Source organism: Homo sapiens, chromosome 10 (genome assembly GCF_000001405.40).
Source record: "Homo sapiens chromosome 10, GRCh38.p14 Primary Assembly".
NCBI lineage: Eukaryota > Metazoa > Chordata > Mammalia > Primates > Hominidae > Homo > Homo sapiens.
This window is the reverse complement of record NC_000010.11, coordinates 22,567,627-22,593,361: the sequence shown is the minus strand read 5'-3', so window position 1 is coordinate 22,593,361 and position 25,735 is coordinate 22,567,627. Positions and strand designations below refer to the sequence as shown.

The following is a 25,735-nucleotide window of genomic DNA, read 5'->3' as shown; positions in this document are numbered from 1 at the left end:
AGATTTTTTTTTTTCCTTCTCTCAAGTTTTCTAATAAGCTAAGGAAAGCAAATTCAGTTACTTGGTGGCCTGGACTCTGCATCTGGCAGGTGCGCCTGCTTGCCTTCAGATCAAGGTGTGCTATTGCAGAACGTGTGATCCACCACAGGGGGTGCCAGGGTGGTGAGGTGAGAATCCTGGAAGATGAAGATTTGCTCATGGGCCACTTTTCTCTTCAGGCATAGGTAGGGCCTGCGTAAACCCCTGCACTGCTGCAATGGATTCTACCTCAGGTGGTTCAGTCCTGTTGATTTCATCTAGAAAGGAAGGAAAGGATAAAGAGACTGGAATATACTAGACAGAAAGGCACTCTTTCTTTTGCAAATTCATGGGCAGAGCTATCTATCACCTGCCCCTCTGAAGGTATCTGTGTTCCCTTAACTTGACAGCATTTGGCCACTGAGGCCTTTGAATGCCCACTTCAGAGAGCAAGTTAAAGAGAGAAAGCATGTTTGCCTTTGAATCCCACACAGGCCATCCCGCAGGGCCAGGCAAGGAGTGAAAGTCACTGCTCAGGAGCAGTCGGCAAGGATGGAGACGAGACTTTCTGGGGGCCAGGGGTTTGCTAGACCCCATGGCTGGACGGCCATTGTCAAGAGGTTGGGGCAAGGAGGAGGCTTCTTGGAGGATGTAAGAAAGAGGAGATCTGAACGGAAGAGTCACATGGGAGGAGAAGGGTAGACCTACCTAGCCAGTGTCACTAGCATGAACCAGATCTTGGAGTGAATGATGTCAGCAGAGCCCCTACTCAGAGCCCGTCCTTGTCCACCCTCCAGGAGATCAGTAGTTCTCAAAAATGGTGGTAGGGAGTGGAGGATGGACCAAATTCAAATCGCCTAAGGAGGAGCTGTTTTAGAAGACACTCTCCCAGGCTCCTGCCTCCTCCTCCTGGGGCACACAGGTAGCATAGTCTGCAAGTTAAGTACTTTACTAGTTGAGTAGTTTACTAGTTGAGAGTTTGGATTCTGAGCCAGCCACACTGGAGTCAGAATTCTAGCTCTTCCCTTATTAGCTATATGCCCTTTGCCCAGATACTAAGCCTCTCTTATTCCCATCTCCTCATCTGTAAAATAGTGATGATAGCAATCGTAACCATTGCATGGGAATGTTATCAGAATTGGGGGAAATAATCTGTGCAAAATGCTTGGCACGATACCTGTCATATAAGGAAATGCTCAGTGACTGTAAAATTTTCTTTTATGACTGGAACCTAATTTTATTCAGAAGAAAACTTTGAGAGCTTGTCCAACTCTGAAAAGAACTAAGTGATTAAAGTTACTTTGATTATAATTCTAGACATTAGCCTGCTTTAAAGATATTAGAATCATAGTACAATTCAAGCTGTTTTCATTTCATCTGAAAGGCTTGCAATGTGAGTTATGATGCATGTAAAAATGTTGTCATCCTACTTATCAATTTATCCCACACACAAATGTTTTTGAAAACTTGCAATGATGACAAATTATCTGGGAATCGGAAAGCCACACCTTTAACTAGTTATCTTCCCCCGCCTTCCTTCCCCTCTTACCCCACCCGGGAAGAATTCCCTGACCAGGAGCGCACCCCTCCCCAACGACTCCCAGGCCCGCAGTGGAGCTCGTTTTCACACTTCCTACGACAAAAGATACATCATCAAGACTATTACCAGTGAAGACGTGGCCGAAATGCACAACATCCTGAAGAAATACCACCAGGTAATTTTTCTTGATCTTTATTTGAAACTCCAAGAAGATTAACATGCGTAGCGATTTCTCACCAAGGCCAGAGATTTAAATATATAGTTAGAGAACAAGAAGAACACATTTCACATAAACATCTCCTCTAACCCTGTGTTCTAAAATTACAGTGGCCAGATTCCTGGCAGTTAACCTTTAGGCATGCTTGTGCTATAAAGGTCATTCATTATTTGTATAACACTTTTAACCTAAATACTCTTGTGTAATAGTTTCAGTTATCACTACTCTGATTTTAAAATCATTCAGCTTAAGATTTGGCAACTTTGCAGAAGTTTTTGCCTGTGCCAGAGATTAGGTGTTGACCTCTGAGTATGTATCTATTTACACCTCCGAATCCTATTTTGCTGTCACTGGTTCTTCTGTCCTGGCCCCAGCAGGGCCCACGCCATTCACAATCTGCTACGGAGCAAGCTCTCTGATTTTAGAAGGTGGGTGTTGGTCTGCTTCTTGCCCCCTTTTCATCCCCGAGCATAATTCCATTGTAATCACTGGAGGTAAAGTAGACCATCCTTGGGAGCAGCAATCTGTCTCTCCTGGAGTAAATTCCAGCACAAGCTTCTCTGGTAGAGCACATGTTCCCAAGGCCCAGCCCGCGCTGTGAGAGGCCTCCTTCACCATGGAGTATAAGAGCATGAAGTCCAGCGTTGGACAATCCTGGGCTCAAATCCCAGCCAGGTCGCTTACTAAGCATGTGACTTCTGGTCTTGGTTGTTTTTTAGAGACAGGGTCTTGCTCTGTTGCCAGGTTGAAGTGCAGTGGCGTGATCACAGCTCACTGCATGCTCAACCTCCTGGGCTCAAGCAGTCCTCCCACCCCAGCCTCCCAAGTAGCTGGGACCACAGGTATGCACCACCATGCCTGGCCAATTTTTTTAAGTTGTGTTTTTATAGAGGTGGAGTTTTGCTATGTTGCCCAGGCTGGTCTTGAACTCTTGGGCTCAAGCAGTTCTCCCATCTTGGCCTCCCAAAGTGCTAAGGTTACAGGTGTGAGCCTCCACACCCTGCCTGGATTTTGAAGCCACAGTTTCTTTGTTTATACAGTCGGGATAATAATAACACCTAATATGGATTCTAAAGATTAAATAGGAAATTGCATGTCAAGTGCTTAGCACAGTGTCTGTCACACACTAGATACTCAATGTGTGGTGGTGGCCATAGCATCGCTATTATCAAGATAACATCCATGGTATAAAAATAACGTAACAACTAAGTCACTTGGAGAAATTGTAGTCATATGGTATGAACATGTCTGCTGTTGCAACATCCCAGGAATCATCTTCACAACTGGTGTTTAAAACACATACACACATTGTTGCTTTTAGGACCTTAGTCAGCTTGAGCTGTCATAAAAAACCGTAGACTGGGTAGCTTAAATGACAGAAATCTATTTCTTACAGTTCTAGAGGTTGAAGTCTGAGATCAAGGTGCCAGTATGGTCAGGTTCTTCCTGGTTTGCAGACAGCCAGCTTCTCACTGTAGCCTCACGTGTGTTGGCAGGGTCATGGTGGGTGGGATAGGATCAAAAGCACTCTTCTGTCACTTCTAATAAGGGCACTGATCACATAATGAGGGCTCTAAGCTCATGACCTAATTAGCTCTCAAAGGTCCCACCTCCTAATACCATCACTTGGGGATTAGGGTTTCAACGTAAGCATTTTGGGGGACACAAACTTTCCATTCATAGCAGAGTCACACGGTGTTTTTAACTTAAATAGCTCCCAATCCCCCAAAGGTAAAAATTGGCTGTCACAATGGGTATTCAAAATAAAGTGCCGCAGGTCCTGAATATATTAATAAAAGGATTCTCGAGTATAAACAATCACACTTACTAAGTATCTGCTTCGAAGGCAGCACTGGCCTGGACTTGTGAGCTCCTAGATGTCTGTTTAAACATCCCTTTAAAAGCATTACTTTATGTTCATGCATGATGCTCTAATATCATGGATTCTTTCTTGGCAGTTGCTTATTCTTCCAATCTTTGCAAATATGATCAATTGCATTTTGCTTGCAGTGAAGTCTATAAAAATCTTTGAGCTATATTCTGTTTCTTGAAACTTGGTACTGCCTCTAGTTTGTTTTCTAAAATCATTAGCCTCTAAATTCATTTAATATCTAATAAATCTTTTATAATATCTATTCCTTTTGAAATTTGTTCTACACTGCTTATGCTACTGCCTCTTATTCTACAGGAAATTTTAAAGTGCCAGGATGCTACCTGTGAGGGGGAAGACATGAGGCTCTGTTATCTGAATGAATTGAATTACAGGTTGCAGCTTTGAACTCTTCACCTTTTAAACTGTCTACTTTTTCATTTTTTCCCCTCTGGAAATTGATATCATACTTATGCATTCTCTTTATACTTTCTTTCAGTTGTCTCAGAACATTCAAAGCGAAGTGATATCTCATGACTGATGAGAGCATATTGTTCTAAAAAATGGCCATGATACCATGCTAATAAAATGTGACACAGAATTGAAGTACCAACTTCTTGATGACAACTTTGAGTTTAGCATCCTTTGACTTTACAAAAATCACGATTTGAAATGTTTTCTCTGGGTTAGTTATTGTAACCTAACATAGGGATTTGACATATCCCCAGTGTTACATAAAATAAGTGTGGGATCAAAATAAGTCTATTGACACCTCCCAGGGGCTTTAACAGTATAAAGACTTCCTTCTGTTCCACTGCTACAAAATTGTTATCTTATTGGTGAGTTCTTTATTCAGAAAAGTCTCCTTTATCCAACATCTATACTTTTTCTTTTTATAAACAGAATATTTTAAATATAATTTGTAGGGTCTTAATGATTGGGAATCACATTATTAATATAAATTATTTAAAGGGCACTAAGTAGAAGTCAGGAGACATAGATCCTAACCTGTTAGGAACTGCCTCTTGGATGATCTCTGAACTCAGCTTCTGCACCTGCATTTCATTCATTCATTCATTTATTCATGTATTCACTCTTGACCTTATTCCAGAAAGGATTTAAGGTGGCCTTCAAAGAAGTTGGAAATACAAGCTAGAATAAATGAAAAAAAGAAAAGGAAGAGGCAGAAAGATAAAGGCACAAAATGGAGCCTGGAATGAGCGTAGATATTCATGCCAAGATGACCAGCATGCTTGATACTTTGAGTCTGTTGCCAAGGAGAAATGTAAGTGGTCTTGGTACTAAGATGCAACAGGGTTGACTCTAAGGAGTTCCCCACAGAGCGGACACAGGGACATCTGACCTGATAAAACAACATCCTTGCCACAAGCTGAGAAACATACAAGAATGTTAGAGAACTTAAAAAAAAATTGTCCGTATAGGCTGCTAATTATCAGTATAGGCCATGTATAAATACAGCCACAGTTGCAGCACCGTTTTGCTAATTTGTCCATTTTTAAATTACATTTAAACGAAAGCAAATTAAGAACAAGGAAATGTATAGGTGACACAAACGTTGACCATTAAAGGTGGACATGCCACTCATATACATCTCAGCAAAATCTCACATAGAAGAGGTTTTTAAAAATACAGCAGCAGTGAAGAGTAACAGTGTTAATTACATGATCAGAGAATTCCACAGAAACCTCATAAAAGGTCTCAACATTCACACAGCTTATTTGATACTGATCTATTCGGGGTGACCCCTGCTAGGCTCACTGAGGGCAGGTCTGGGACCCTGCTCAGGTTGGCAGGTGTTCATGAAGGAAGATGCAGTCCGCCGAGTCAAACATCACACCCGCAGCAATTAGCAAAGGCCACACCAGTGTGTAGTTTACATTTAGTAAATGCTGTTCTACAGAGAAAGGCTATAATGCACACCGGCTGCCTAGCCCTCTCCCATTCTGGCTTCTGTTTGAATGTTCTTCAGGCTGTTCTTCTTGTATGCCACTTCCAGACGAGATTTTGATGAATATTACTGGGTGGTGGGCTCAGCCTGGCATGTCCTCATGTGATTCTGTGTGACCGGACACAGGCCTGTCATTGGTAAACCCAGGGAGGCCTGTCAAGCTTTGTGTTTCTATCCCTGTGGTTTGAGATGCTCAGAGGTATTTGAGGTATATGTCAGGCCTTCATTCCTACTTTCTGTGGGCCTAGAGTACTTTTAGGGTTTGTATCTAAGAAACTTTCTCTCTCTAGCTTCAGTAGTGATCATCATTTCTTCTGTTTCTTCTTGCTTGTTGTTGCTTTTGCCTTGGAACTCTCTGGGCTTCTGAACCTTCCGAATCTAGACAAGTAATGCAGATCGTTCAGGTGCATATCAGTTGATGAGAGGCTCTCATAGAGGGTTTCTCCCGTGGAGTGAATTGCATGGACTTTCTGACAACTTTGGTTACCCAACAGCCCTTTTTTTTTTCTTTTCCTTTGTTGTTTTTTGTTTTAAGGAAATGCAGCCACAGTTGGAATTATATTCTGGAGGGTTAAAATTGCCCAAGGCCAGCCTCTGGAGAAGTAGAACATGGCTAGTTATTTGAATATTTGAATAAATTCTTCCTAGGTTTAATTTTCTGACACACTGACCTTCCCAGCAATCTGGGATGGCAGGTGGTTCAAGAGCAAGGACTTGGAGCCAGCCAGCCACCTTCTGGTCCCAGCCATGCCCCTGGCCAATGGCATGACCTTGGGCAATTTACTTATACTTTTGACACCTCTTGGTCTATAATATTTGGATAATAGTACCCTCTTCATTTGGGTGTTGTGCTAATTAGGTGAATTCATATTATAACATGCTCAGAGCAGTGTCTAGTATATAAGAAGTGCTAAATGGGCCAGGCGCAGTGGCTCACGTCTGTAATCCCAGCACTTTGGGAGGCCGAGGTGGGTGGATCACCTGAGGTCAGGGGTTCAAGACCAGCCTGACCAACATGGTGAAACCTCATCTCTACTAAAAATACAAAAATTAGCCAGGCATGATGGCACGTGCCTGTAGTCCCAGCTACTCGGGAGGCTGAGGCATGAGAATCGCTTGAACCCAGGAGGTGGAGGTTGCAGTGAGCCGAGGTTGTGCCACTGCACTCCAGCCTGGGTAACAGAACGAGACTCCGTTTCGAAAAAAAGAAAAAGAAGTGCTAAATGAGTGACTGAATAAGATTTTTAATTAAATATCGTTCTTGTATTTAATTTCCTACACCTCAGTGTTGAAATCATTCTCATGTGGCATTCAGTCCTTAACTCTTTTAATCCACTAGGGGGCCTGGTTTCTGGTAGACTGTGGCACTGATGCAGAATTACGAAGACTTCAGCCGTGAGGAGTTAGATTTTTCCCCCAAGTTCCAGTATCTTGCTCTATTCTTTATTTCCTGCCCAAATTCTACCCTAGCTTTCACTCTGTGCAAAGAAAGAAGAGCATCATCTCTCAGACCAATGGAGAATTCATATTAAGCACAGCAAACTTTCATAAATTTTGTTTACTTCATTTGATTTTCTCTTGTAGTTGGGAAAATAATGTTTCGCTATAAATATCCTTTTCACATTTCTGTTAGGCTGTAAGAAACTCGGATCCTATAAATGATGATTATCAGTTGATTAACTAAACAATGTTAGAACATTCAAAAAGGAAAAAATGGTAAAAAACCTATTTGCCTACTTGAATATCTTTTTATCTTAAATCGACTGAATTTTTTTTTTCCCCGCACTGACGTGAATTCATTGGGAGCTTTGGTATCATGTAGCTTCAACTTGAATTAAAATTGAAAAGTATTGACTGGACACAGTGGCTCATGCCTGTAACCCCAGTGCTTTGGGAGGCCGAGGTGGACGGATCACTTGAGGCCAGGAGTTCAAGACCAGCCTAGCCAACACAGTGAAATCCGGTCTCTACTAAAACTACAAAAAATTAGCTGGGGGTGTATGCCTGTAGTCCCAGCTGCTCAGGAGGCTAAGGCATGAGAATCCCTTGAACTCAGGAGGCAGAAGTTGCAGGGAGCCAAGATGGCATCACTGCACTCCAGCCTGGGTGAGATTCTGTCTCAAAAAAAAAAAAAAAAATTGAGAGGCACTGTTGGTAACATACTTCCCTGAAGTTGTATAGGACTTAGAATGTAACCCGAGGGAAGCTGCAATATAGGTGATCAAGAAATACCTTATGAAAATATTATTGAGTATTTTAATAGCTTTTGAAATGCAGCATTTTAATTTACTTTCTTATTTCAAAGTGACTGAATCGATAAATGGGTAAAATTGATAAAAAACGACTTAAATTCCTTTCTTATCCTTTTATTTAGGGAAACAATTAATATCTTTAGTTGAATCCAGAAGTTTTGCCCCAAAATCTGAACTCCCTGTTAAATAAGCTAATCAGCACCTCAAATTTCAAGGATTTTAGGGCAAACATGTGACTTCTTTGAAATCTCCTCATAGTACATCTGCTTATCCTTTCCCGAAGGTTAGGGACGTTGGTGTTACTATTCAAAGGATGAGACTTCGGTAGAGCAAAACTGAGAAAATAGGGACCATAAAAGCTAAATACAAAAAAGAGTGGAGAGGGTTATAGCACCAAAAGAGAAAAGGTTCCACATTGTGTCAGTGCTTCTTAGACTTTCATCAGGGCTCTGACTGGCTGGGTCTGGAGGGGCTGTCGGGGAGTCTGTGGAGGCCGCCTTTCTACCAGGCCCCCAGGTGATGCTCATGTGCCCCCGGTGAGTGACAGGGCAGCTCCTGTGTTCTGGAACAACAGAACATTCTGAGCACTCAGTTCTGAATCTGCTCTTGGGCCCTTTTGTTCATTTTTCCGGAGGAGTGATCAATTAAAATTTGGAAAGTACTTGGATATTCTCAGTCCTGTGTAAGTATCAGATTATGAGACTAAACACAAGCTCCCAGTAGACCCTCTGCTGCCATTGTAAACTGCGGACACGTCTTGCTTCTCTCTTAGAAACAGGGGAAGGTATTTGTCATCTTGGGAGTTCCTGTGGCCCAATGAGTGCCCCGAAGCTTGCCGATGGCGTCATTTGTAGCCCTCTGTTCCCAATGTCCTCAGCCATTTCCTCCTAGTTTCATGGGGAGCTGCCCGGCACACTCCCCAGCAAGCTTTTCCTGCAGTACTTCTTCTCCAGGGTCTGGAAGTTCCGCAGTCCTTTTCTCTTTCAGCCTCACCTCTCCCCTTCTGTTTCTCCAGCAAGTACATCTTTAACGTGCTCATCCTGGCTTCCCCATCTTTAACTTTTCTTTTCCATTTTCCATCTCCAAACATCTCTGCCCAATTCTGGGTGAATTCTTCAAAATATATCATCCAGTCCTAAGTGTCTCTTCAACTGTTCTAATCTTTTTTTTTTTTAATTTCAACAATTATCTTTTTTATTCTAGAAGTTTTCCAGAAGATTTTTCAAAATCTGACCGTTCATTCCTGATAGTTTCTTGATTTATGCTCATCTCTGAAATTGCATCCTTTGTTTCTTTACACGTTTTGTACGTAACTATTCAAAACTTACTCCTGAGAGTTCCCACCTCTGTAATTCCTGGGGGCCTGAATTTGTTGTCATGGTCTGCCAACTCTCACACACAGTGACTTGCCCAACCAGATGATGACACAGTTTGGGGTCAAGATGTTGATCAGGATCAAAGCTTATGTAGGGAAGAGGAAAGAAGTGAGATTGGGCAGAGGGAGAAGTCAGACTGCCATGCTGGCCCAGTCAAGCCTCAGCTAACCTGGCGGGGCACTATGGAACATGCCCCTAGAGGCTCCTATGTTGGGCCAAAATGACAGGCTGCCCTCGGAAGGCAGACCTAGAAGGAGCTGCCCCTGCAGGCCTTCTGCAGACCGTACACGCTCAGCTGGGCAGCATGACCTTCCCTGGAGGGAATCTGGGCGTCCCATCTCTGTGGCTACACTTGCTTTCCTTAGTGTCTGAGAGTCTTACTGAACTCTTAGCTTCATCTTCACCTCTGCAATGTTTGGGAAGGCCTCTGACCCTAATTTACGGAAGCTCTTTTTCTGAGAGTTTTGTTTCTGCAAAAGAGGAGGGTGGGGATTCCCAGCCCTGGACCCTGTCAGCACCCTTCAAGGGTTTTGCTAGGAGTGGGAGCCCCTGGGCCCACTCCCCCACCATGCTAATGTCCTCAGTGTCCGTGTACCCCTGTGCTCCTGACAGGCTCTGTCTAGCACCTCCAACACCTTGGCTTGGATCCCAGCTCCTCACATGCTCCCTGGGCACACCTGCTCTCCGGTGCACCTGCCCAAATGATCAGCTCCCCCCCAGCCCCAGGCATAGGCTACTCAGGCCCCAGCTCCCCATTGTGTGTGGGGTACAGGGGCCATTCTGGAACCTTCCTGCCTTTATACCAGCTAAGCTTTCTATCTGGGATGGGGCTTTCCAGGAGGCCTTGGGCTTGTCAAAGCTCCCTGCCAGCGGTCATACGTGGAGCAGCCATTCTGTGCTTTTTGTAACAAGTGGCATCTGTACATATGATAAAGCACTTTATTGTATTTTTTACAAAGTTACTTCATTTTTAATGATGATGTTGTTTATGAGTCCTTACTATGGTGTGTCACAAATTGAATGAGGCACATCCGTGTATGTACTTAGGCATTTCTGCATATCTCAGTAATAAGAATTTGTGTAAACACTACAGAAGAATGCTTGTTCCTTTTAAGCTTGAATTTTATCAAGCTTAATTAAGAAAAGCAGTAAAGTTTCATTTGTTTTGTTATATTTGTTATATTTGCTTAAATGTAGTCATCCTTACTTTTTTTTTTTTTTTTTTTTTACTTCAAGACGATTTGAAATCAAATTATATTAACTGACATTTACAGATCATTATCCCCAAACATACCAAGACATCCACTCAAAGGAAGTTGTATCATTTATTTATTTATTTGGTCATTGTACACCAGAGCAATCCATAATTTCAGGCTTCTTTCTTCCCTTCCTTTCCCTTCCTTTTCCTTCCCTTCCTTTCCCTTTCCTTTTCTTTCATGTGAAGTATATTGTAGGAATAATCTCTAAACATAGCCCATGGCACAGTAAGGATTACAGATAATTTAACCTTTCAAAAACATTAAATGAAACAAGACTTTACATTGAAGTACTAATTTGATGCTATATTAAATTGTCACTTCAAGCTTTTTTAAAAAATGAGTGAAACATGATAATAACAGCAATTCCTGAAAGCCGGAGCCCAGGTTCACACTATCGTGCGGAGATATAAATATTTATCTATTGCAGTACATCACTTAGAACCCTTTCTGCTTCAACCTTCAGTCAGCTGTGAATCTCTTAATGGCATTTCATTCTCCATGAGAATAGCAACAAATCAGGGCTTCATAACCCTTATTATTCTCGGTGAGTGCCTAAGGGCAAAGGAAACCTAGGTCTGGTGGCTGTTACGTTTTATGTTTTTGAAAGCCTAATTCCATGACTCTAATTTATCATTGCATTACATTTCTAACAAGCCCACAGTAGTACAGGAAAAAGTTCTGAGGGAGAATTAGGAAGGGAGAAACTTTACCTTTGTTGACGACATCATTTATAAGTAGACTTTTTTTTTTTTCTTTTTTGAGACAGGGTCTTGGTCTGTAACCCAGGCTGGAGTACAGTGGCGCAAACACAGCTCACTGCAGCCTCAAGTGATCCTACTGCCTCAGCCTCCCAAGTAGCTGGGAATACAGGCATGCGCCACCACACCTGGCTCATTTCTTTTATTTTTTTTTGTAGAGATGGGGTCTTCTCATGTTGCCTAGGCTGGTCTCAAACTCCTGGACTCAAGCGATCCTCCTGCCTCAACCTCCCAGTGCTGGGATTACAGGCATGAGCCACCATGCCCAGCTGTAAGCAGATTGTTTTTTAAAAAAAGACAGAAAAAAGTGAAAACTGTTAGTGTTGGAAATGCATGTTACAGATGAGAAAAATGTAAAAAGCCAGCAAAAATAGGAAAGTTTCTGACAGCACTCTTAGAATTAACGGAAGCTATTATGTGGTAAGTAATGAAGGGAAGTGACAAGAGCAAGAGGTGCCCAGCTATGACAGTGCAGAAGTGAACGGTACTTAATAAAAGGAATATTTTAATTTTTTTTTTTTTTTTTTTTTTTTTTTTAGAGATAGGATCTCCCTGTGTTGCCCTGGCTGATCTCAAACTCCTGGGCTAAAGCAACCCTCCTGCCTCAGCCTCCCAAGTAACTGGGCAAAAATAACATTTTAAAATGCAATGCAGTGAATTTAACACTGAGAATAGGAAAGCTGACCCCAAAGAATAAGTGTGATTGACTTAGCTACATATAGCAAGTATAAGAAGAATTGGTGATAATCAGGTTCACTTTTATGAAGTTTGAGAGTAGATTTTCAGCACCTATTCAGATGGAAGCTCAATGTCAAGCCTCCGCTCCAGGTGCCAGGCAGAGCTGCTGTTTGATGTGAGCGGAGGGCTTAGATACAGGTGACCTGCAGAGTCAGACAGGTGGAAATGACAGGTGAGCATTGTGCCACCAGGAGGAATGCCTCAGGGGAAAGAAAAGCCCTACTCAAGGAGCCGCTGAAAGGAACACTCTTCGGTATTGTGTTCATGCTGCCTGTGCTCTCACAGGAGAATAAGCCCACTTATCTGGTGTGTGCTCTTAATTTCTGAGCCACACACGGGACGGCCAGCATTGTTCAGTGTTTGGTCCATTTGCAGCCTCATCTGCCTTGGGACTTCAAAGTGTCTGCAGACAGGAGTTGGCAGACTCATCCATTCTACAAAGGAGCCTCCCGGGCCGCATTAGAGCACTGCACCTGTCGAGTCTGTAAAGCGAGACATTACCATCGCAGAAAGGGACAACTGTGTTGATGACGTCCTTTTGCCAGTGGGGAAGGATTGCCTTGTAGCCACATCTTGTAGACCGTGGTTGAAAGTGAAAGAAATGCACCTTTCCTAAACAGTGGCCCCAAGGGACTGCATTGTAACTTTGGCATTCTTGTAATCTGGAAGTTAAACATGTGGAAGAGAGGAGGCAAAGGTTCCTCAGATTGTCTTGTGGTTGAGCCAACAGTGTTTTACAAAAGGGTAATAGATAGGATGCTTTAAACTCTTACAAAGAAGAGAATGACCGGGTCAAATAATAGGTTGTTAAAAGCATGGCATTGTGGTACCCCCAGTACATGCTCTTCTTCTCACTGTCTTTCTTTTATTTTCTTTTTGTTGAGATGGAGTTTCGCCATGTTGGCCAGGTTGATCTCAAACTCCTGGGCTCAAGTAATCCGCCCGCCTTGGCCTCCCGAATTACCGGGACTGCAGGCATGAGCCACTATGCCCAGCCTCTTCTTGCTGTTTTTGAAGCATTCGCTTACAAGTTATTTTGTTAATTTGTCTATGATATTTAAGTTTTGAAGAAAAATGTGCTCACAGTTGTGATCCTAGAAGCAACATAAGATAGAAATATTTTTTTTGGTGTTTTACGTTTACACTAATCTCACTTTATAAATACAGAGACACTGCAGCATTATTAATTATGGAGAGTCCTTGAAATTGGGAGTCCCCGTCATGCATTAAAGATACAACCCGTGTCTCTGAGAGCATTTGGGGCACATATCAGGTGCTCCTGGAAGTCTCCCTCCCTCACGCCTTCCTGCCTTTGCCCTCTCCACCCCTCACCTCGGGGCCTTGGCTGCATCTTGGCCCTGCTTGAGTCATGAGCAGGTCTTGTTTCCCTTATCTCCACATTCATCAGAATGGGTTGTCTTTTTTTTTCTTTTTTCTTTTTTCTTTTTTTTCTTCTCAGACGAAGTCTCGTTCTATCACCTAGGCTGGAGTGCAGTGGCACACTCTCGGCTCACTGCAGCCTCTACCTCCTGGGTTCAGGCGATTCTCCTGCCTCAGCCTCCCGAGTAGCTGGGACTACAGGCACCTGCCACCATGCCCGTCTGATTTTTATATGTTTAGTAGAGGCGGGGTTTCACTATGTTGGCCAGGCCGGTCTCAATCTCCTCCTGACTTCAAGTAATCCACCCTCCCCTGCCTCCCAAAGTGCTGGGATTACATGCGTGAGCCACCATGCCCGGCCAGAATGGAGCATCTTAAAGGCAGCAAGTTCCTCTGTGGTTGGTATGGGAGCATCATGTCTAAGCAGTGTTATGCCCAAAGATCCCCTCCCCTCCAAGGGTGAGGATAGGGAGGAGCTGGAGGGGAAGGAGGCAGACGTCCTCTAATTGTTGTGCACGTGACTCTGTGGAGAACACCATTTATCAGCTTTATCAGTGCATACAAACTTTGGGAAGTTGAGAGAATTTTAAGTGTGAATTCTGTATAAATCATCGGATGTGATTCTTTACTCTTATTCAGTGACAGATTGATATCACTAGGGTTACGATTCTGCTCCACCCCTTTCCTCAAAGTTCTGTTTCTCCCGTGATGCTGGAGAATGAGGATACATTGCGTGGTACAGTTTACACGTGCGGTAATAGTCCCAGAACAGATAAACTGTGACCATTTCCGAATTCTCCCCCAAGTTAACCATGTGACTGCCTTGTTTTTTTTTTAAGATTAACATCCTTAAACCGTTATTTTGTGGTACCCTCTTTTCCTCCTTTCATGCCCGACATATGCCTTTTTTCCTACTTATTGTGTAAAGTTCTTCATTTGTCGTGGCCATCGTGAGAAAAATCTGGGGCTTCCCTTTCATCATAAATGACAGGTTTTTTTTCTGCTTTCAAAATCTAGAATTTTCATATTTGTAACACCTGGAGGTAAGGGTCATGGTGTTAATTATAAAGAGAGCGGAGAGAGTAGGCATCTGTAGGAAACATCTTGGGTTTTTTTAATTATTTGCTGGATTCATTTATTCAACAGTTGTATATGAAATGGTTTTTACACATGAGGTCCTGCTAAGGGTAGTGCTTGCCACCTTCGTGGAGCTTACATTTGGCAGGAAGCTGTATTACACTAGATGAATCCTATGTGGATGTGCAACTCAAAAGAAAGGGTTGTGGACTGAGAATCATAAGTTTGGGGGTTATCGAGACGCAGATAGAAATGTAAACAAACGGTGTGGATCAGGTAGCCTGTACACAGTGAAGAAGAGAAGATGAGAGGACATCTAGGTCAGGGCCCTGACAATGGGCATGTAGAGGAGGAAGCATTGGCCAAAGAGCAGGAAAGATGGGACGGAGTAGGAGGACTGCCAGGAGAACACAGCGTCTCAGAAGCCAAGGGAGGGAGGAAGCCCCAGACAAGAGCGCTGTTTGCTCATGGGGTTCAGGAGAGAGAAAGGCGGAGAAGCATCTGTCAAATTTAACCACTCAAAGGTCATTGAGATCTCAGGGGGAACAGTTGCTCTGAAGGGAAAGGAAAGTAAAATCCAGAGCAGGATGAGCTGCAGAATGGATGGGGGGTTACAGAGCAACAGAAAATAAGCGTAGACAGCTCTGCCAAGAAGCCAGTCAGGAGAGAGACCAGAGATGGAGAAAGACATGGAGTCAAAGAAGGGTTTGTGTTTCTTTTTACTTTTTATTGTAAAAATGTTCAAGCAGACAGAAAATTGGTAGCATATACCCATCACTTAGATTGAACAATTATTAACATTTTACCACATTTGCATCATTTTATTTTTGCAGAAATGTTTCAAAAGTAAATCACAGACACATTTCCTCTGTAAATACTTTGATATGCTTCTCTGAAACATAAGGACTTCTCAGGTTAAGAAAATTGCCAATAAATTCCTTCCTATCACCAAATATCTAGTGAGTGGCATAATCAGGTGTCCCCAGTTGCCCTCAAAGTGTACGTTCAAGCCAGGATCCAGGCGGTGCCAGACCGTGCATCTCTGCAATTGAGAGGGCGTTTTGTGTTTTGTTTTTGTTGCTTTAATGAGAGAAACTTCAGCACATTTAAGCACTGTTGAGAAGCTGCTAGTGGAGGGAGAGAGGTTGAGGATCCTGGACTGAGAGGGAGGATGCTCAAGAACCCGACAAGATGCGTCGCAGTGTGACTGGAGAGACCACTCTCAGAAGGGGATCCACCGTGCAAGCACTGAGTGTCTTTGCCTATTTGTGTTGCTGTGAGGAATACCTGAGGCTGGGTGATTCATAAGGAAAAGAGGTTTATTTGGCTTGCAATTCTGCAGACTGTACAAGAAGCATGGTGTCAGCATCTGTCGCTGGTGAGACCCTCAGGAAGCTTCTACTCATGTTGGAAGGCAGTAGGGAGCTGGCATGGCTTGGCGAGAGGCAAGGAAGGAGAGGGGAAGGCTCTTTTCCATAAGCAGTTCTCCCTATGGCACCAAGCCATTTATGAGGGACCCACCCCCATGACCCAGTCACCTCCCACCGAGCACCACCTCCAACATTGGGGATCACATTGCAACATGAGGTTTAGAGGGGACAAATATTCAAACTGTATCACTGGGAGATGGGGCTACCGGAAGTCAAGCCATTCCCCTCCCATGGCACCCTTTTCCACCTGAAGTAGGATAACTTGCACACGGACAAGAACCAGGTGTCTCTGCTCCCTGATGCAAAGTCAGCACCGCTCATGGTACCAGGCATATGATGGATGCTCAATACGTATTTTTTAAGTGAATCTATGAATACTTTTTTTTTTTTTTTTTTTTTTGAGACAGGAGTTTGCTCTGTCACCCAGGCTAGAGTGCAGTGGCGCAATCTCGGCTCACTGCAGCCTCCGCCTCCCAAATTCAAACGATTCTCCTGCCTCACCCAGCCTCCTGAGTAGCTGGGACTACAGGCATGCACCACCACATCTGGCTAATTTTTGTATTTTTAGCAGAGACGAGGTTTCGCTGTTGGCCAGGCTGGTCTCAAACTCCTGATCTCAAGCTATCCGCCCACCTTGGCCTCCCAGGGTGCTGGGATTACAGGTGTGAGCCACCGTATTCTCAGCCTCTATGAATGAATATTGAGAGTGATGAGGGGGTTTTGAGGTTTAATAAAAATGGAAAAGGTTCAAAAGATAGATAACACTTCCATACTACTTTTTATGCACCAGGCTTTGTTCTAAAAACTTTATAACTAACTCATTTAATCGTTAAGTACTATTATTACCTCCCAGTTTCCAAATGCAGACCAAGAGGTTGAATAACTGTCCCAAGGTCACACAGGTAATGAACACGGAGCTGGACCGGGAGGGCTCTTAGCTGTGTAAGGTGGCTGAGGCTCGTGAGACCCCGGCTAAAGCTGTAGCTGTAAATCTACAGTCTCCCTGGTTCAGGGCTGACCTCCAGCAGCTGGTGTGTGTAGGAATCCTTGGAGTTAACACCCGCTGGTGTTACGAGTTTGTGCTCAGCATTCTCTGGGTCAACTGGGAGAATCCACCAGGATTCTCATTCAGGTCTCTTTGTGTCAACATCTGCCTACAACAGCGCATCGTGCTAGAGAACAGAGGTTCCTAGCCCAGGCATTCACAGACCCAGTTAAATGTTCCTCCACTGAAATGCAGCAGTGTGCCCTTTTCCCAGTGCTTCCCCCCAGAAATTCAGTTAATAGGTATAATTTTCTCTACTGCAAAATTTTAACCCATTAATGCTTTCTAAACCTTTGATATCACCTGCAGCTTGGCAGTACTCGAATCTAATAGATAAACTTTGGTATGACTTGTGGGTTTGTACATGTTTATATCCTCAGGAGTTTTAGGTATTCATCAAGGAGCCCCATAAGTGAGCCATACGTTTGAGAACAACTGTGTGTAGACTTGCTGATAAAGTAGACAGACTTTTTTTTTCTTTTTTGTTTTTTTTTTGAGATGGCGTCTTGCTCTGTCACCTAGGCTGGAGTACAGTGGCACGATCTCGGCTCACTGAAACCTCCGCCTCCTGGGTTCAAGTAGTTCTTCTGCCTCAGCCTCCCGAGTAGCTGGGATTACGGGTGTGCACCACCACACCCAGCTAATTGTTGTATTTTTAGTAGAGATGGGGTATCACCATCTTGGCCAGGCTGATCTTGGACTCCTGACCTCGTGATCCACCTGCCTTGGCCTCCAAAAGTGCTGGGATTACAGGCGTGAGCCACCGCGCCTGGCAAAGTAGACAGATTTGATCTGTCTCTTTTCAGTGTAATAATTTAGCTAATGTTTAAGGTAGGGGAGGTATAGAATGTAATCTGTATGGGTGTTTTTTCCTAAGGGGGGACAACTAGTCAATGATTTGCTGTATAATATTCAAAAGATTTCTTGACCATATTTGTAGCATGAATAATGGTTCTTTGTCGCTGTGAGACATAGCTTTCTGTGGCTCTGCACAGCAACTTGAATCAGAGAGGAATGGCGGGATTCTGTAAAGGTAGTTCGTGATGGGAGCTCAGTGAGGGGTTGAGCAGCAAAACCAAAATCGGTGTGTCCCCTGGGGCAGGGACTGTGTCTTGTGGGCCTCAAAAATAACTGCCTCGGAGCAGACCCCACTCAGTACATGTCTGTATGTCAGTTGGGAGCACAAAACAGGTGTAACATTAAAATTTCTTAACAGAGTTTTGAATGAAAATAATCATTATCATCTTCAGTATAGTATAGTACACAGCACCGTGTGAAGTATTTTGACATACTCTTACCTGTAACCCTCAAAACAACCTTCAAGGTAGGAATTAGGCTCTTTTTCTGGAAAATGAAGCTAAACTGTGGAGTGATTTGGTAACTTGCCCAAGATCTCACAGCTCGTAAATGGAGGCGCCAGGACACACACACACACCTTTCTGGCTCGCAAACCTACGTTCTCTCTACTGCACGTGGAGACTAGACTTCCTCAGTCTCCATGTTTGAAGGCCCATCCAACCACCTTTCTACAGAGGCCAAGAACCCCTTTTCATTTCTCTAGATCAGATGTGAGAAATTTTCTTTTCACCCAGTGGCTATTTACTGCCTGTTTTGCATTAGCAAAACTCAATTTATTATATTTTGAAAGGAAATAGAAAATGTTTCACTCATCTAATTTCAAATAACAAGGTGAAACTCTACTCAGGAATTACATGAGATTAAAATTTATAGCTCAGTTATTGTCAATAAGAAAAAAGAAAGGGAAGAGGCATCTTTAAAACTTGCCAAAACTCTAGATGGCAAAAATCAGAATCAAGTACCAATGCTGTTTATCTTTAATGATCAAAACCAAAGACTTTTTCATTCTTAAGGTGGTTAAATATTATCAGAATTGATTATTAACAGTATTTACAACTAAGAAGTTTGAAAGGACATTTTAATTACTTTTGTATTTTTTATAAAATGCTCATTGTAAAAAAAAAAAAAAACAGAAAATGAAAAATTCAAGCAGTATAGTAGAAAAGGATCAGAATTCCCTCCAATTGCATCATTAGCATCTCTGAATATGCCCAACATGTATGGTGTTTACAGTAATGGAATCTCACCATTTATGCTGTTTATTATCCTGGAGATTGCACACGTGTCAGTGGACATAGAGCTTTTTTGAAATATTACTTCCCCATGATTTTAAAGGAAGGAAAACCTAAGCTTCCTTTGGGAAGTGCAGAGGGACCCGTTTTATGAAAATCTGCTCTCAGGGAGAAGTGGCTCCATCTTGTGGCCCTCTGGAGTTTGGTCATGAAAAACAGCCAAGGTCGTGTTGTGTTTTTTTTGCAACTCTCCTCGGAAATGGTGTCAACCCTGGGCTTGTCCAGTTAACTTGGTGGAAACCAGCAGGGACAAGGCAGTCCCCATCTGCCGGCAGAGCAGGAGCGAGGGTGCTATGGTCACAGGGGTTGCCCCCTTCTCCCCTGCTCTCTTGAGAAGCTTAGCTCTGCCCTCCCAGCTTCTAACACTGGGCTCCCCACAATTTCCTCTTTCATCTCGACTTCAACACTGTTAGAGAAGCTATTTTAGCAGCCAGGTTGCTCTGCCTCAGCCTTGTAGTCAGGGCTTTGGGGGTAGAAGACAGAGGCGCTAGGTGGAGTGTAATATCCCTTAAAAGGAATTTGAGAAAGATAGTCACATGTCCTCTTGCCTTACACGATCATATCCAAGGTTTGACCATACAAATTCCATTTGGAATGTTGGAAAAAAATCTGTTTGGAGATAAAATTGAATTTTCTTTTCTGTGTAGAGATGGTGAACACAGATGTGATTGGTAAGCAGTACAAATGTGGTCATTTTCTGTAAATAAGACCCTAATGGCTGGAGGTTTTCACTTTGTATGAACACCATAGGCGTATGTATTTTACATCTAAGGAAGCAATCTTTTGATTGGATGTTTTTTTCCTTTTTCTTTCTCTCCTATGCAGTACATAGTGGAATGTCATGGGATCACCCTTCTTCCCCAGTTCTTGGGCATGTACCGGCTTAATGTTGATGGAGTTGAAATATATGTGATAGTTACAAGAAATGTATTCAGCCACCGTTTGTCTGTGTATAGGAAATACGACTTAAAGGTGAGACTGATTTTATGAATTTTTGTAAAGTAACTCAAGCTTACTCTTCTACATTGTAAATGTTGTCATTGATCATCAGAAATGCTTAGGAGCCGCTCAGCACTTAAAGCTACCAGACAAGTAGCAGTGTATTCCTTCCTGTGAGGCAATAAGTGCTTGCTGGCCTCACCAAAAAACACTGGCACATGTTAGAGATATCACATCTACTTAAATATTCAGCCAACTGCATACCAGGCACTGTTCTAGATGCTGGAAGTGATGGGATGAACAAACCAAACCTGCACTCGGGGAGCTGACATTCTGGTGGGTAAAGACAGGCAGTAAGTAAAAGTGATAAGTTAGTCATAGAGCATACCCAGAAGTGGTAAGTGCTATAGACAGAATTAAAGAGGGGGAGGGTTTTAAATAGTCCTGTCAGGGAAGGTTCCCCTGAGAAAGATGACATTGGAGCAGACTTGAAGGAGATGAGGAAATGAGCTGAGGAAGAATATTGCTGGCAGAGGGAACTGTAAGTACAGAGACCATTTCAAAGGCTTGGAGATAAAGGGGGGCCCCTGGAAATTCTGAGAGTGGAGTGACATAATCTGGCTTCTGGTATCACCAATTCAGGGGAGAATGTTCAAGTTAGGGGTTGGAAAACTATGACTTTCCTGAATTCCAAATCCTACTTGAGGGACTTTTTTTTCTTTTCTTTTCTTTTTTTTTTGAGAAAGAGTCTTCCTCTGTTGCTCAGTCTGGAGCGCAGTGGCTCAATCTTGGCTCATGGCAACCTCTGCCCCACTGGCTCAAGCAGTCCTCCCACGTAGCTGGGACCACAGGCACGCACCACCATGCTCAGCTAATTTTTTGTATTTTTTGGTGGAGACAGGATTTCACCATGTTGCCCAGGCTGATCTTGAACTCCTGAGCTCAAGCAATCCACCCACCTTGGCCTTCCAAAGTGCTGGGATTATAGGCATGAACCACCGCGGCTGGCTGGGCCAATTTTATAAATACATTTTTATTGGAATACCACGATGCCCCTTGTTTCTGTATTGTCTGTTACTGCTTTTGCACTGTAATGGCAGAGTTTGGTAGTTACCGCAGAGACCATTTGGGACCACAAAGCCTAAAACGTTTACCCACTGACTGTTTGCAGAAAAGTTTGCCAAACTCTGGTCTCTGACATTTGGTTCTCAAGTTTTTTGGTCTCAACGCTTTCACGCTCTTACAAGAGGACACTCGAAAGCTTTTGCAGATGTGAGTTGTGTCTGTGGATATTTACAGTATTAAAAATTAATATAAGAAATATTAGAATATGTAGTTTCTTTAAAAATGAGAAAAACATTACATGTTAACATTTTTATGAAAAATAACTATTTTCCAAAAGCAAAAACATGAATGAGACAAGTAGCATTGTTTTACATTTTTGCAAATCTCCGTAATGTCTTGACTTAATGTGAGATAGTTGGAATGTCCTGTCTGATTCCGCTGTCAGTCTGTGTGGTGTTATGCCGCTGAAGTATGTGAAGAAAATCTGAACTCACACAATAATGAAGTTTGGAAAGTTGTTAAAGCATGTTTTAACAACTTTTTTGGATAATTGTAGATATTCTTCTTTGATACTACACCAAAGCTTGACAAGAGGTAATTTCTCAAAGCTTAGTTACATTATGAAATCTGAAATCATATCAATGAACTTTTTGTACTCTTCATCGAAATCCATTGATTGGTTTGCATGCATTGTTTGAATGTGTGATTTTGCCAAGGCATGCACTTGCCATTTGGAACACATTGGTTCACTGAGTTATTTGACTCTTCCAAATATTGACACATTTCATTATACAGTATCAAAAAGTCATAACAGTGTTACCACCAATGTCATCAGAAAAGTCTTTTACATATTGGGAAGCGGTCAGGCCCAGGATGGTGGATATAAGTTTTTTAAAAATCAGTTTTTTACTTGGAATCTCAAATTTTATCACTGGCCACAAGCCCTGTCAGTTGTTTTCTGTGAAATGACCACATGTAGCAAGCACCCCAGCATACAGGGGAGCCTAGCAGCTTCATTCATTTTGTAGCAAACATCAGTCACATGCCCAGATCTAAATAAACATAGACTGTCAGTTGTTCTTTCAAGTAAAAGTGTTGTTTCATGAAAAAGATGGCCAGTTCAACTCATAACTCAAACCGTCACGAAAACAGTTCTTAAGAAATCATTCCTTCTTTATAAACAGAAGTGCTTTATGTATATTTCCTGCACAGAATATTGAAAAGACGTGTACTCCTGGGTCTAGATTTGATACATTTAATGTTATGCTTTCATGTGTTTACTAGATGCCTACTTGTATGACACACCATCTTAGCCAGAAGTTCAGCAACTCGTACACAGCTCACAAGTCACAAAAACCAGGATGTGTGGCTTCAGAGGTTTCTGAAATGACGCTGGGTTTCTTAGATGGTGCTGGTTTTTTTCATTGTTTTTTTTTTTTAAATCACAAACACTACTAATACCCACTGTTGCCACTGTTTGACTTATGCTAAACTGCTAGCAGTTCTTCCCACCATTGTTTTTGCATTATTTATACAAATATCAAGACGCTGAAAAAGGCAAATAATTTCTCAGTATTATTATAAAAATAGTTTTGGCTTTGTATAGTTTTGGTCTTGGGACCCCAGGGTTCTGAACCATGCTTAGAGAAATGCTAGTCTAAGTGAAGGAAATGGTCTGGGCTTGTCTCCTAACCTCTGAAGTCCCCACACACTGGATCCACTTCCCAAATACACCCTTGTCCTGTCCTGTCTTAAAGTCTTCGCCCAAGCAAGCCATTTTGTGCCCCTGGAATTGCCCCTGGGGAAATCCCAGCCATCCTCCAGGGCCCTTGCCAGCACCAGCTCTTTTCGTGAAGCCTTGGCGGTACTGCTCAGAGCACACAGGACTCTGTCTGACTTCCCCAGGGAAGAAAGCCAGAGTGACCTCTAAAGTCACATGTTGTTCTTTTATGACTTGTTAACCTTGTGTAAGTTGCTGAACCTCTATGACCCTCCGTCTCTTCATCTGTTAAAATAGGGATAATTTTACCTACATTTGCAGGGATGTTTTGAGAATTAAATAAGATACATATGTATTGTGTCCAGCGTGAGGCATGGCATATGGGAGTTAATGAATCTTGGTTGCCTCATTCATTCTCCTGATGTGTAAGTGCCTCAAGGGCAAGTATGTTCTTCTACTTAACTTTTTTTTTTTTAATCCCCCTGCAATGCCTAAGATAGCGCCTCGGACAAGTAGGCATCTGGTAAACATATCTTGGAGTAAATTATACTTAGAGATTGGATATTCTAGTTTTAATTTGCCTTGCTTTTTTCACAGTTTCATCTCCCTTTCTGGCTTGTGGCATAGATAAACTCTGTTCTTGCCAGTGCTCTCAGTTGTGATGGAACCTGTACATCTGGCATTGTTTCATGGCTTAAACTCTTGGCCTTCCTTTTCTATTTTTTTTAATAATTTTTTATTGTGAATTAATTTAAACTTGGATGAGTTTTGTGTTTTGTTGTTCCCAAGCTAATGATCAGCATTTGCATACAGATGAAGCTTCCCTGAGAATCAGAAGCAGGGTGGATTATATTGTAGGAGAGGAAACACACACACAGACACAGACAGACACACACACACACAGACACACACACCCCAAGAACTTGGTTAAGAATTCAAAGTAGAATAGTTTCTTCCTGTTCCCAGCATCATAGGCAGTGCTCAAGTATTACAAATGTCCCATTTTTAAAAAGTATTTGGGAACATTCGTTGTGAAAAATCAGTGTGTAAAGGAAGGTACTTCTGGTCCATATTCAGGAATCCCTAAAGGAAGGAAAGTAGACCATGGCAAGTAACAGTTGCTGGGCATGGCTGTGCAGAGGGGCTCGGACTGTGGTCGTAGAATGGGTTCTCAGGTTTGCCTTCATGAATGGTTCACATTATCTGTCTCCATCTGATGGGTCAGCTTTGGGCTGCTCTGAATCGCCCTGAGAAACATTGAACATTTTCCCTGGGCCAGCAGCAGCGTCCCTCGGATCTTCCAGTCCTGGGGGCACTGAGCACCAGGGGGATGGAAGATCGGCCCTGGGGAGACCCCCCCAGCCTGGTCTTGGCTCCCTTCCCCAATGTGAGGAGTCTCTTCCGTTCAAGTTTCCGCATCTGTGAATTGCAGGAAGCTCAATCCTAGTCAATGCCTGAGCTGCTCGATGAAAGCCAGTAATCAAAAATTTTGATTTCTTTGCAGATGGCCAATCTAAAAGCCACTTTCACTTTTCCCAAGCCAACTGTAAGTTCATTTAATGAATGGCTAACTCAAGTAACCCAGGGCAATAGATGTCTTTTCATCAGGTGGTAAAGAAGCAAGTGGCTTGGCTGACCTCACGATAGTTAGGGGTGTCCAGTGCAGGAGGGGAAGGGAGCCCAGGAAATTGGCCTGTGATTCTTCTCCAGCCATTTATGCAGTAAACACAGGACATCTGCTGTGTATGAGACACCGTGATTGTCATCCATACTTAGGAATTCACCAGACCATTTGTTTCCCAGCTTTTCTTTTGAATTAAAATCTTCCACAAGCCACGGGAAGTTTCTCTGCTTGGACTCTACCCCTAAAGCCTCCCCGTCGGCCTCCGAGGTAGACTCAGGTCATGCTAGACAACCCAGAGCTCTAAGGCAGAGTTTTGAACACCACTGCAGTAAGAGCACAAACTGCTGAGATCAAGGGCCATGTTTTCCTCCACTTTGTACCTCTGCACTCAGCATAGGGCCTGGCACAAAAGAGGTACAAATAACTGTGTGTCTTTGAAGGAATCTCCAAAGTAAATGGGGTCAGAGAGTGGCTGTGGGGGACTGATGTATAGCAAGCAAGGAAAGAGTGTTCATCAGTAACTCTTAAGACGGGAGAAAACAATGAGCATTGCAGAAAAAAGTCAGCAGGTGAGGATGTGCCCACAGAAGGACGTAATGTGGGGAAAGAGGCACTTAACGCTCCTGTGGTCCCACTGCAGCCAGCTAGTGGGACTCTTTAAGATAACAGGACTGACTATTTCTGGCAGTTGATACAAGGAGTAAAGTGTGGGGCTGATCCAGTGTTGAGTAAGTTACTGCTCAAGTAAGTGATGGTCAGGTTTTCTAACTTCCAGCAGGTGGACAAGAACCACAGAAACACAGGTGAGCAAGACAGAGTCAGGGCTAGAGAAGCGGCCAGTGGCCAGGAATACCTGCAGAGAGGGGACACAGGCCGGACAGAGAGCCATGGTCAGGGAGGGATGAGAAGCCCATTCCGCATGGGCTGCGAAGCAGAGTGGGTGCTGAGCTGGCTCTCTGCTCCGCCTGGAGCCATTTTCATATTTTCTGCGTGTGAAACCCAATGCCTCCCATGCGCATGTTTTTATTATTGCCTTGTGTTTCAGGGCTCTACAGTGGCTAGAGAAGCTAGTGACAAAGAAAAGGTAAGTACCTTGCTGTATGTCTCCCCATGTCCTGGGGGCATGATCACATACTCCCAATCACCTTTACTCTTTATTTCTAGTCTCCCACCCCTGCTATTGTGGTTCTTCCTGTTCCCCATTCTGCTGCCACCAGCGAGAAACACTGTATTGACCCGATGAGAGTTCTACTTCATTTCTCTTCATCAAATTGTTGAATAGTGAAACAGTTATTTGTTGCAAGCATG

At 43.1% G+C, this 25,735-nt stretch overlaps 1 protein-coding gene across 6 annotated transcripts in view; it reads left to right on the top strand.

Moving 5' to 3' along the window:
- PIP4K2A (phosphatidylinositol-5-phosphate 4-kinase type 2 alpha) overlaps positions 1-25,735 on the top strand; it is a 179,725-nt gene that overhangs the window by 121,217 nt on the left and 32,773 nt on the right. For 5 of the 6 annotated variants that reach the window (NM_005028.5, NM_001330062.2, XM_017016330.2 and 2 more), the window contains exons 4-6: positions 1,581-1,733; positions 19,905-20,051; positions 25,473-25,511. In NM_005028.5, the coding sequence (NP_005019.2) occupies positions 1,581-1,733; positions 19,905-20,051; positions 25,473-25,511 (339 nt within the window). The remainder of the gene's footprint in view (positions 1-1,580; positions 1,734-19,904; positions 20,052-25,472; positions 25,512-25,735) is intronic. The other variant, XM_006717450.3, reaches the window with a different exon arrangement.